We start from the raw sequence: 13,096 nt of genomic DNA, 5'->3' as shown, positions 1-13,096 counted from the left end.
TCATAGCTGCAATGTAGGTACCCTGAGGTTTGGGTGTAGAGACTCTCTGTTCTCATCTCTGCCTTCACCATCTTGGAAGAAGGGCTGCCTTTTCTTCCCCTTTTCTTTCTAATCCAAAGTAACTTTACATACATAAAGTCATGCTGATATATATATATATAAAATAAATGAGAAATATATATATCATATATATATATCTGATAAATGAGAAAGGCATGATCCTATGAGTGACCATCCCTGACTTCTTCCAAGAGGGACAATCTGTGAAGGTCAGTGCAAGTGGCAAAGTCATGGGAAGAAAAAGAAATCACCATTGGGCAATTTGGGGTAGAGGGTTGCTTGCAGCCAATCTTGTAACTCACAGCTTTAGGGAAAATATGACAATCTAACTGAGCAGGGGTCCTTGGGACTGAGGAAATTGCCCTCACAGGGTTAATGAGAATTACAAGCCAGGCTTTAGGCAGAATTATAGTTAAGCATTGACCAGGGAGCACTTGTGCCCTTCAACCTCCTTCCCCGCAGCTGCTAACTAACCAAGAGCTATGTAGCATGCTGGCCACCTGCTCCCTGCCATTCCTATAGATAGAATTTCTGACGCTGGACCTTTATACTGGAGAATTGCTTAAGGTGTTCTTCAGATTCTGAATTCCAGCAGAACGATTGACGCCAATCGGTCTGAGGACCCCCACCAAAGAACTGACTCAGCACAGAAATGTGGTTTCATCATCAATGTCCCCCTTCACTTATCAACCAATCAACCACTTCCACATCCTACTCCTTCAACCCTCCAGACCCCTGAAAAAACCCATCCCCAAACCTGTCAGGGAGTTGGAACTGAGGTTTCCTCCCATCTCCTCATTCAGCTACCCTACAATTATTCAACTCTTTCTCTGCTGCAAACTTCGGTGTCTCAGTATATTGACTCACTGTGCATCAGGCAATGAACCTAGCACCATTACACTGAGAGAGTCTCAGTAATTCGGAGTGTTATCAGAATTGAGTGCTTGGAAGGGTTTGGGAAGAAATGAGTTTAAATCAAACTCTTTTGAGGGAAAGTAAGAAACAGATTTTACAGGCTGCAGCCAGCTGTAAATTTGTTTTAGTGCCAGAGTTTTTAAGAAGTGGATTTTACAATCTATAAATCAGTTTTATTTATGAACTTGAACTTGATCTATTCTTCTTTCTATTATTTTTATAAAATAGGCCAAGCTTCCCTGGTGTTCTTTGGACAGTAAAGCAGAACAATTGTGCAATATCAGAGGTCCCCAACTTGTATAACTTAGAGTTGTCTGATTTATAAAGAATATTTCTAAAGAATTTTCTACAATGGGGGCTCCCCTGCCCTGCCTTCCAGGCCACTACTGTGGTTGAGGAAGGTGAGGGTCACCCCTATGCTTGGCTGAGGACAGAGCCAGGGAGAGGGATGGCACCCTTGGGACTCACACCCACCCACCTCGCGGGTGAAGTGGACTTTCACCAACCACGCTGGCAGTTAACTTCCATCCAAACAGAGTCTCCATGGAAAAGTGAATTCTGAGTTACAAACAGCCGACTTTAATCCAATTTTGCAAGTCACATCCACATGGGAGGGATGCCAAAGAGAATGACAATGACATAGGACCAGAAAGAAGACACCCTGCTTTGTTCAAGGAAAGAAGCTCTGCTCTCAACCCCCAGAATACTCAGCCTCATCTGGGAGGCTGAACTTGGCTCTGGGTGGGGGATGGGAAGAAGCTCACAGCACTTGCCCTGAAAGTGACCAATACACTGATGGAGGACCAGAGCCAGCAACCGGTGCCCTAAGGAAACAATCTACCCAAACAAAAAGGGTGAGCCACATCCTGAACGACCCTAAGCAAGCAACCTGCTATTTCCCTTTTGGGAGGTCTGAAGCAGGAGGCTAGCTGCCTCTCTTGGTTTTGGGCAATGCTTCCCTCTGGGGGAGAAGGGTTTAAGGCCTAGTGAGTCAGAGTCAACCATGCTCAACCTGGCCCTGATTTCAGTCTCTGCTCTCTTTGTCCTCTGAAACCTTGTGAGAAAGTAGCAGACACCTGATACTGCAGGCTCTTCTCACTTGCCCTAAGAAGATGGGAACCTGTCTTACACAAAGGGCAGCCTGAAAGTGGTAAATTCTGCTGTCCCTTAAGCCAGCCACTGAGGATTCTGGTCACCAGAATCACCTAGGGAGCTTTAAAAAATACAAGGATGCGGATATTTGGCTCCACTGCAGACAAACTGAGTCAGGAATTCTGGGATGGGGTCCAGGAATGTGTACTTTGTGAACCTTCCCAGATGATTCGGATGATAAACCAGGTCAGGGGAAATCTGATATAAGGAGCCCGAAAAGAATTCTCACTGTGGTGATTCAATCATTAAAACCCTATCGGCACATGAAGAACTCTTCCAAATCAATAAGAAAAATATGAAGCACCCCACAGAAACATAGACAAAAGTGATTTCCTTAAAAGAAATGCAATGGTCAGTAGCTACATGGAAAGATGTTTATCCTCACTAATAAAGAATTGAAGCAACCAGATGTAATTGTTTTTGCACAACAATTAGCAAAGACTTAAACACTGGATAATTCTGAGCGTGGCAGGATAAGAGGAAACCCACACTCTTGTCTGTTGGTGGGAGTGTGAACTGATGCAATGTGTTTGGAGAGCAATTTAGCAATCTCTGTCAAAATTTTACATGAACGTAGCTTTGATGAAGCACTTCAAGGATTTTACTCTGCAGAGATACTTGAAGCAGCATGCAAAAGATACATGTACACACATGGTCCTTGCAGCATTGCTTGTGATAGCAAGGACTGGAAACAACTTAAATCGCCACTAATAGCAGACAATTACACATTATGGTACAACCACACAATGATTATTATTCATTTGTTAAGAAGAACAGGCTAGATTTACATCTACCTATCTCGGGGGGATGTTACTTTGTGGGAAAAAAAAAAAGCAGTTATGTAAGTTATGTATGGTTGGAATCCATTTTGGGTAAAACAAAACAAAGGTAGAAATAGGTATTTGTGCGTATATGTGGATAGAATATTGAGAAAGAAGTTCAGGAAACTATAAAATGAAGTTACTTCTGGAGAGTGGGAATAAAGGTTTAGGGGAGAAAACTATCTTTTATTTACTTTTCACTTGTCAACATTATGAATTATTTGAATTTTACCATGAGCATATATTACCTTTGTAAAACAAAATAAAGCAAATGCACTAAAATAAAGAAGTTAAAACATACATATACACAGCCTCTATGAGTACGGTGACTACCTCACTCTCTGGTCTCACTCCCTGGAGCAGATGCCCCTAGGGTGGGGGCCACACCTCCTGCGCCCACCTCTGAATTTCACTGCAGCCTCATGGGCCAGTCCATGTGAACTTAACTCCCTTCCAGCAACTAGCACTTGCCACAAGCCTGTGTCCTTTCACTGTCTACCCCAGGGCCTTTACTGATGTCCCTTGAGTCTGACACCTGAGAAGGACAGGAGATGCAGCCTCTCAGGAGCAATCACTAATGGTGATGAAGTGTAGGGATAAAGGCCTCAGCCCCACCCTTCAAAGCAGCGCTGCAAGGAGTCCTGCACCCTTCTCAGAGGACCTGGTGAGGTCCCGCCCTCCTTTTCCGAAGTGATGATCTTGACAGCACACTCTTCTCCGTCTCCTTGCCCCGCTCCCTCCCTCATGCTTCCAGGATCAGCACCCACATAAACTACTTCACTCAGATACCTACCTTGCAGGGAACCCAAACTCAGCCACCTCTTCAGAACCACAGGTTCCTGAAAGCCACCCTGCCCTAAGGCTCAGGTGAGGCCACATTGAGGGTAGGAGCCTCACTGATGGCAGCAGTAATGGTTAAGAGATTAGGGGAGATGTCAGGCGTTGTGCTGGGGGATTTGCATGGCTGCCTCGTGTCATCATCCTAGCAATCTGCAAAGTGGATCATTTGGACCCTCATTTTACACTTGAGAGAACAGAGATAGCTGGGGGTCCCTAAGTCCAGGTCTCAGGGAACTGGGTTGACAAATAGGCAGAGTCCTTGCTTCTGACAGGGCCAGCTCATGCTCCTTGGGCCCTTGATTATAGGCTATGGTGTTCACAGTCCTGCAGGCTTTCCAGAGCAGCAGAAATCAGGTGACTTGTACAGAGCCAGATGAACAAATCTAAACTGGGCAAAACAAGACCAAGATATCAAGATGCAAAGAGTCAAGCAGTTTGGGAATCAAGGGGTAAAGAGGTAGAAGAAGATACTTCCTTTTTTTTTTTTTTTTTTTTTTTTTTTTTTTGGCAGGGTCTTGCATTGTCACTTAGGCTGGAGTGCAGTGGAGCAACCATGGCTCACTGCAGCCTTGATCTCCAGGGATCAAGAGATCCTCCCACCTCATCCTCCTGGGTAGCTGAGACTAAAGGCCTGCATCAGCATACCTGGCTAATTAAAAAAATTCTTCTTTGTAGAGACAGGGTCTTACTATGTTGCCCAGACTGGTTTGCCTAGACTGGCCTCAAACACTTGGGCTCAACCGATCCACCTGCCTTGGCTTCCCAAATTGCTGAGATTACAGGTGTGAGCCACTGCACGTGGCTAGAAGGTATTTCTTATCAGGAAGCAAGAGGAGATACAGTTGACCAGCCTGGCCATGGAGACAGGCATTACATGGAATGTTTGTGTCCACCCAGGATTTCACGTGTTGAAATTCTAACCTCCAAGCGGATGGTGTTAGGAGGTGGGGCCTTTAGACAGTGATTGGGTCATGAGGGCAGGGTCCTTGTGAATGGGATTAGTGCCTTTAAAAGAAGAGAAACAGGGGACGGCTCTCCATCTCTCTTCCCCCTTTGGGAGGATACAATGAGAAGATGGCCATCAGGAAGCAGCCCTCATGAAGCACCAAATCTGCCGATGCCTTGATGTGGGATTTTCAGCCTCCAGAACCCAGAGGAATAAATTTCTGTTGTTTAAGCCGCCGAATCTATGGTAATTTGTTACAGCAGCCCAAATAGACCAAGACAAAGAAGAATGGAGAAGGGGATGGCTCAGGGAAGAGCTAGAACCCAGGACTGGGGTACTAACTTGAGGAGGGGTTGGGAGCCCACTAGAGCGGATGTGGGCTACGGACCCCTTCTCAAGTTAGTTAGTAACTTACAAATAAAAAAAAATCTTTAAAAAATTTTAAATTTAAATTTTAGATTCAAGAGGTGCATGCGCAGGTTTGTTACAAGGGTATGTTTCATAGTGCTGAGGTTTGGTGCAGCACTTCCATTGATCCCGTCACCCAGATAGTGAACAGGGCACCCATAGGAAGGTTTCCAGCCCTTGCCCCTCCTTCTCCCGCCTCCGTTTGGAGTCCCCAGTGTCTTTTGTTCCCGCCTTTACATCCATGTGTACCCAGGGGTTAGCTCCCACTCATTAAGTGAGAATATGTGATCATTCATTTTTCTGTTTCTGCATTAATTTGCTTAGGATAATGGCCTCCAGCTGTATCCATGTTGCTGCAGAGGACATGACTTCCTTCTTTTTGATGGCTACATAGTTTTCCATGTTGTATATGTACTGCTTATTGTTTATCCAATCCTCCGTTGATGACACCTAGGTTGCTTCCATGTCTTTGCCATTGTGTATCGTGCTGCAATAAACATACGAGTGTAGGTGTCTTTTTGGTAGAATGACTTATTTTCCTTTGGGTATATACCCAGTAATGGGATTGCTGGCTCAAATGGTAGGTCTATTTTTAGTTCTTTAAGAAATCTCCAAACTGCTTTCCACAGTGGCTGAACTAATTTTCATTCCCGCCAACAGTGTATAAGCATTGAACACCTTTTGTAATCAAATGTCATCTAAATGAGGATATGCTTCCTGCAAAGCCATTGTGTTTGCTATGCAAATCTGGCTTCCAGATGAATTCCCAGCTCTCCCCTTCCGGCCCTAATACCACTCAAAGATTCCCCTTCCCCATAGATAATCTGAAGCTCCCTTTAAAAGAACTGTGGGTTCAGTGGCAGGCATCAAACACTCCTGGTTGTGACTCCCCTGGGGATGGCCCCTCGGGCTGCAGGCATCACATACTCCACTTTTCTGCAGGTAGCCTCTGGGAGCCTAAGATGACTGCTGCAGCCAGACACAAGCTCCCGGCCTTGAACCACGGGGTCCTTCCAAAGTCTCATGGGTAAGAGGTCAGAGAAGGGTGCAAAGTGGGGAAGGCAATTTAGAAGAGCAAGGGAAGACAATTTTATGAGGAGACAGCTCCAGGAAGAGAATGATATTTGTTCTTTTACATGGACAAAGCCTCCATGTGTTCCTTGAGTAATTTTTATTCAACAGGGTGTTTTAAGTGGGTAGACAAACAAACATCTGAATTTAAGATTAAATACACTTCTCTCAGGGAAGGGCATCCTGGACAGGAAGACCATCTTCTTGGTGGATCTTGCCTCTGCAGCCTCCAGTGGATGGAGCGATGTGTGAGTGTGAGCACAGTGGGCCTGGCAAGGTGAGGTCCGGCAGCAGTTCAGTGCATCGAGGTTTGCGTGCTCCAGAAAGCCAAGCTCAGATCAGCCTGGATGGGGACCTACATTTCCGCCACAGTGCTTCTGGCAGCTGAAGGTTCTGATCTTCCCTTGTGGCGCAGATCCTGGGAGGGGAGGATCGTGGTCGCTACCATTCCTCGTTCCATCTAGGAATGAGGTCTCTGTGAAAGGTTTTTGAAGAGAGAGAGAGAGGAGGAATGGGATGGGCTGAATTGTGTACCACCCTCTTACCGACATGTTCAAGTCCTAATTCCCAGCACCTCTTAATGAGACCTTTATTTGGAAATAGGGTTGTTGCAGATTTGATTAGCTAAGATACTGTCATTCTGGAGTCCTTATAAAGGGAGACCTTATAAAAAGGGGGAATTTGGAGGCAGACACGCATGCAGGGGAACATCATGTGAAGATGAAGACAGAGATGAGGGTGCTGCTTCCATGAGCCACAGAATGCCAAAGATGGCCAGCAAACCATCACACGCTAGGGGAGAGGTGTGGAGCAGATGCCTTCTCACTGCCTTGAGAAGGAACCAACCCTGCCAGCACCTTGATCTCAGACTTCCAGCCTCCAGAACTGAGAGATGATAAGTTTATGTGGGTTAAGCCAGCGAGGCTGTGGTCCTTTGTTACACAGCAGTCCTAGCAAACTAATACAAGGGACATGGATTATGGTGGGGACACGTAGTGAGGAAAAAGACTCCTCCAGGAAGGCTGGGGCCTTCAGGCAGATGCCCAGGGACTGGCAACTGATGATAACTATGCCTAGTCCAACCAGGACAGCTCCGCTTCTCCACGGGAGTCGGGGGAGACATTTTTGCCTCCTCTCACTTCGATTCACCTGTCTGCATGTGTGTTCAAGATAGAAAAGAAAGCTAAGCTCCTTCAAGTCTCCTGCAGGCCATCTGCTCATACCAGGACGTAGGAAGTTAAGGCGATTTTCAGTGTTATCCCAGGCAGGATGGAGACAGGACACCAGCCACTGGAAGGAAATATGAACTCCTGTCATGCTTAGCCTTACTTTTGGCATAAGTCAGTATTTTCGATGGAATACTACTCAGCCATAAAAAGAAATGAATTAATGGCATTTGCAGCAACCTGGATGGGATTGGAGACCATGATTCTAGGTGAAGTAACTCAGGAATTGAAAACCAAACATTGGATGTTCTCACTCCTAAGTGGGAGCTGAATTATGAAGATACGAAAGCATGAAAATGATACAATGGACTTTGGGGACTCTGGGGGAAAGGGTGGGAAGGTGGGGAGGGATAAAAGACGACCCTTTGGGTACAGTGTTTACTGCTCAGGAGATGGGTACACCAGCATCTCACAAATCACCACTAAAGAACTTATTCATGTAACCAAACACCACCTGTTCCCCCAAAAACCTATGGAAATACAATTTTTTTAAGTTAGTATTTTATCTGCCTGCAGTCTGCCTTCTTGTAGGATTTGGGGTGAGTTTTGGTCCCCACACCATGTGAAAAACTCTTGTGATCATTATTTTTCCAAAGAATCTCCCTGAGCTAAATTTCACTGCCTCTGAGATTGTGGTTTCATGCTAGAGCCTGTGGGAAAATCCCAGAATGTTTAATAGGATTACCTACAGGACAAGTATCTACAATGGGCAGAAATGGTTCTAGTCTGAGAACACAGCACGTTGGAGCGCTCTTTACTGCTGCCAGGACTTTCCTAGGGGCTTTCCTCATGATGGGAGGGCAGAAGGAGGCCTGCAGGCAGCGCCGACAGGACACTCTGCTGCTATTGCTGAAGCCTGTGAGGTGGGCCTCATGTCCTCCTCCCTCCCTGGCCCGTGGCTGGGCCCTGTGCTGAGTGTTGGGGGCTGATGCCCTCCAGGTGGCCCGAGGTGAGCGTCCAGCCTGTCAATGTCTCCTCGGGCCACACAGAGGTACTCAGCGCTGCTCCACTCAGAGGCTCCCAGCTGAGCTTGCCCCCCTCACACCCCCAACCCCGCAGCCTGCAGAATGGCTTTTCTTTCCTTCCTTCCTCAGCTGGGAGTACTGGACAGTCATCTTCCTGGTCACCCGCCTCAAGACCTCCACACAGTCTGTCCCTCTTGCCTCACTCAAGCCTGCCAATTGCAGGCCACTGGCAAATTCTGTTGGGTCTCTTTGACAACTTCTCTCACATGTCTTCACTTCTTCCATTCCATTTGGCTCATCCGGAGTCCAGGTCTTCCCTGTATCTCTCTGACATTGCCCCATAGCCTCCAGACTTGGCTGCTGCCTGGTTCCTCTCCCACATCCCTGTGCCCTTGACCCAAGAGTCTCTTTCAGAAAGTACAGCTGCCCGGGCCGGGCACAGTGGCTCACACCTGTAATCCCAGCACTTTGGTAGGCTGAGGCGGGTGGATCACGAAGTCAAGACATACAGACCATCCTGGCCAACATGGTGAAACCCTGTCTCTACTAAAAATACAAAAAGATTAGCTGGGCATGGTGGTACACGCCTGTAGTCCCAGCTGCTTGGGAGTCTGAGGCAGGAGAATCACTTGAACCTGGGAGGCAGAGGTTGCAGTGAGCCAAGATTGCGCCACTGTACTTCAGCCTGGTGACAGAGAGAGACTCCATCTCAAAAAAAAAAAAAAAAAAAAAAAAAAGACAGTACAGCTGCCCAGCTCTGACCCTTTCAACGGCTCTGCAGTCGAGGATTCGGAATTGAGCAGTGATCCCCGCATCTCCAGCACCTTCCGCACCACCCCTGTCGGAAAGTTTGGCAAGAGGAAGGAAAGAAACTCCTAGCCCTTTGCACAATACTGCCCTGAGATTATGCTGTAGTAGAAACATACGTTATCTTGTCCCTGTTCCACTCAGAGACACCTAAGGGAGAATGGGAGAGCTAGCTGGGGGAGGAGCTCAGGGAAGTGAGGGGCGCAGTGCCTGGTGGGTGTTGATGCAAAGGCGAGTCGGGGTCTGCAGTGAAAGTCCAGCAAGAGGGTCCCAGGGTCCCCACCTGAAAGCAGTGGTGGCGAGCTGGAAAGTGACTGTGGTTAAGAATTCCCATCTTCACCTCTGGTTTGCTGTGGGAAACAGGGCAAAGCCGAATCATGGGAAAGAGAGACGGGGGGCCAGCTCTGGGGCTTGGGTGGGGAGCTTAGGCCCTCCGACGGCTCTGAGCTGGGACCACTCTTGCGTTCACTCCAGCTACACCGAGACAAGCACCCACCCACACTGAGGCCAGCAGGGGCCCCCCTGAGTTGTTGCCTGCATTCTTACCTCCTTTTCTCTTCAGGGCTCTTCTCCCATCTCGAAGCACTAGAAGTTCAGCCATCAGTTAAAGACAGCTCATATGTTGCCTCCTCCAGGAAGCTTTCTCTGATTTCTTAAGTCAGGATTAACCTTTCCTTCCCTATGCTCCCTGTATACTTTGTTCTATCAAACCATTTATGATGTTCATGTATTTTTATATTGTGTGAACCCCTAGAACTTGGCATAGTGCTTGACGATACGCATTAAATAGATGCTTACTGATTGAATAAAAGGAAGAGCGAGCACACAGATACAGTGAAAACTGCTCTTCCGCCTCTCGTCTATAAACATCTTGGAAATAAGAAATATGCTTGGTTACCCTGAACGCTTCCACAGTAGCCAGCATGGTCTTCCACCTCGTCACTTCTCAATAAATGTTGGCTAAATTGTTAATTTCATGGAGTTTGTGATTATAATAATCACATATCATTATTTTTACACCTTCTACAAAAAAAGAATGAGGGGAAATCTATTGTCGTGAGCTTTCTGCAGTTATGTTTTCTGCATATTTCAGATGGTGTGAATTGTTTAGAGCTCTGTCACCTGCACTGGGGCACACGAGATGGCCCCGCTGCCTGGCTGCTTTCCTGGAGGATGCCAAACGCACAATAACATGAGCAGCTTGGATTCCACGCAGCACCTACCTTTTGGTTATTTTTGCAACTCTTTGCACGTACCTGATCTTATTTAGTCCTTCCAATGTCCGGGAGGCAGAGGTGGTGCAGATCCTGTTGGCTTTGTTTCCTAGGTGAGGAGAGAGGCACCACTGGGCTATAAGATAAAGGGCCTGCCCTGGGCCGGAGATGCAATTGGCTGAAGATCTGGCTGTGTCCAGAGCCCAGGGTGCCTCTTGTCCAGTCCAGAGCACAGCAAGGCCCCACCATACCTCACAGTCTTCGGGGCCAGGCTTCCTGGGGTTGCTTTCTTCTCTCCCTTGGAATAGCAGCTCATTCTAGCCCCTTGAGATCCCAAGACAGGAAACCAGGATGAGTTTGGTTCCCAGCCAAGGCAATCTTGCTGACCTCTCAATGCAGCAGGAAAGCCCAAATACAGCCTGTGCCACTGGGGCTTTGTTGCGAAATGTCCACCAACCCCACCCTTGTCTGAAACAGTACCATCTCCCACTTCCCTACTCTTACTCTCAAAGTTTGAGTTTGTTTCTTTTCAAACTCACAGCTTTTGCAAACCACTGGAGGGAAGAATTAATCTGGAATGTTAAGCCTCTCAGTGTATTTGGCTCTGCCTGCAACCTGGAGGAGTAGAATCGAGCTCCAATCTCCTTGTTCCTGGGGAGATTGTAGCTCAGCTTAAGACTCATGGCTGCAGCCTGGTGCCACCTCCTCACAGACTGGGCATGACCTGTGTCCTTGCTCCTCCTGCTGCACCTGCAGGGGGGCCTGGGAGGTGGGACCCCAATCATGATTGCAGTTACGGACAGCCTGCTATGTGCCAGGTGTTGTGGGGAGTGCTGGAAACATGTCTCGTCTCAGAAAACTCACCATCAGCCTTGTGTATGTTTCTCACTGAGGAAACAGAGGTTCAAATTGTTAAGTGGTTTACCCAAGGCACATAGAAGCCCATTCTGTCTGACTCCAGGCCTGAGCACTTAATGGGACCAGGTTTTAGGGCCAGAGTGCAGAGGCTCCCTTGGAGGGATCAGAGCCAGAGGGCTTGCCTTCTAGAAACTTCTCTTCTCTCTGCAGATGTATTGCAAGACCTGAGATCAGACACTCAATCTCCAATTTACCTTTATTTTCTTGCCTTGGACATAGGGCGCTGATGCTAGCACTCTACCAGCTCTCCTGAATCCCAGCACCTTCGTTTCCTAACAGCCAGCATCATGGTCTCAAGATGTAAAGCAATGGTCTGACCCCTGCACTCGAGCCTGGGAAACTGTGGTGTAGAAGTTGGCAGCAGGACCCTCGGACTGGTCTGCCCAAGGTCTAAATGCTGGCTCTACCTTTGACGTTCTGCATGCTCTAACTGCTCCGTGCCTCAGTTTCCTCATCTGAGAAATGGGGGTGTGAGGGGCTGAATCATGTCCCTCCAAAATTCACGTGTTGAAGCCCCAACATACAGCACCTCAGAATGTGACCATATTTGGAGACAAGATCTTTAAAAAGGTAACCAAGTTAAAATGAGATCATTGGAGTGGGCCCTAGTCCAGTATGTCTGGTGTCCTTGTAAGAAGATGGGGACACACAAAGAGCCCCCAGGGATGCTCACACATTCAGAGGGAAGACCACGTGAGGACACAGGGAGAAGACAGCCATCTGCGAGCCAAGGAGAGAGACCTCAGGAGAAACCAACCCTGCCAACACCTTGATCTCAGACTTCCAGCCTCTGGAACTGTGAAAAAATAAATGTCTGTTGTTTAAGCCACCCAATCTGTGGCACTTTGTTATGGCAGCTGGAGCTGGCTGACACAGGGAGTGTTTAGAATCATAACTATTTCAGTACCCATTCTGGTTATGTTCATTTTGGAACCAGACTGCCTAGGATCAAATGCCTGCTCATGCATTTACTTATTCTAAGCTTTAGTTGTCCAGTCTGTGCAATGGGGATACTCATTGTGCCTGCCTTGCAGGGTTGCTAGGACGTTTAGAGAGCTCATGTACATTAAGTGCTGAAGATGGCAGAGTTAGCAAATGTCTGAGCGGGAATTTGATCCCAGGTAATCCAATGCCAAAATGAATGCAACCAGAATGACTCTATGGCAAGTCAATATTGTTTAATCATAAACTGTATCTCCCTAGTCAATAAAAAATGAACATTGTAAAAATGTAGAAATAAAAGTAAAATTGCTCTCTGGATGTCACTTGTAGCCAGAACATGACTTTTCTTTGGCCAACGAGCCCTGGAGGAGCAGGAGGGCTTTGTGGCTGTCTGCCCACTCTTTCAGCTATTTGCGTCTCATAAGGAGCTCCCCAGACTCAATCCTCCGCTGCCTTCCAGCTAATCCACAACACAGAACTTCCAGAGAAAATAACTGCAAAACCCCGGTGTAAACAGGAATGATTTACTAATGTTAGGCAAACATTGGCAATGGGACCCAAAGTAGCACTGGACATTGCTCATGTGTCAAATGGAAGCAGTTTCTCTCATGGCTCCTAAGGCATATGAGTTTCTGGAAGTTGTGTTACTCTTTTTTTTTGTTTTTTGACATTCTCACTCTGTTGCTCTGGCTGGAGTGTAGCGACGCAATCATAGCCCATTTTAACTTTGAACTTCTGGGCTCAAGCGATCCTTTCCACCTCAGCTTCCCAAATAGCTGAGATTATAGGTGTATGCCATAATGCCAGTTAA

At 47.2% G+C, this 13,096-nt stretch overlaps 1 long non-coding RNA gene across 1 annotated transcript; it reads right to left on the bottom strand.

Annotated features, from left to right (window-relative positions):
* Nucleotides 1-6,298: 6,298 nt before the first annotated feature.
* On the bottom strand, nucleotides 6,299-10,744 carry LINC01736 (long intergenic non-protein coding RNA 1736). The gene is made up of 2 exons (NR_135116.1): nucleotides 10,468-10,744; nucleotides 6,299-6,688 (listed from the first exon to the last, which is right to left on the bottom strand). It is a non-coding gene; the product is annotated as a long intergenic non-protein coding RNA 1736 (long non-coding RNA).
* Between the last annotated feature and the right edge of the window lie 2,352 nt (nucleotides 10,745-13,096).

The sequence above is a fragment of the Homo sapiens genome, chromosome 1, assembly GCF_000001405.40.
Source record: "Homo sapiens chromosome 1, GRCh38.p14 Primary Assembly".
In the NCBI taxonomy this organism is placed as follows: Eukaryota; Metazoa; Chordata; class Mammalia; order Primates; family Hominidae; genus Homo; species Homo sapiens.
The sequence above is the reverse complement of the archived record's forward strand: the minus strand, read 5'-3'. Positions and strand labels throughout refer to the sequence as shown.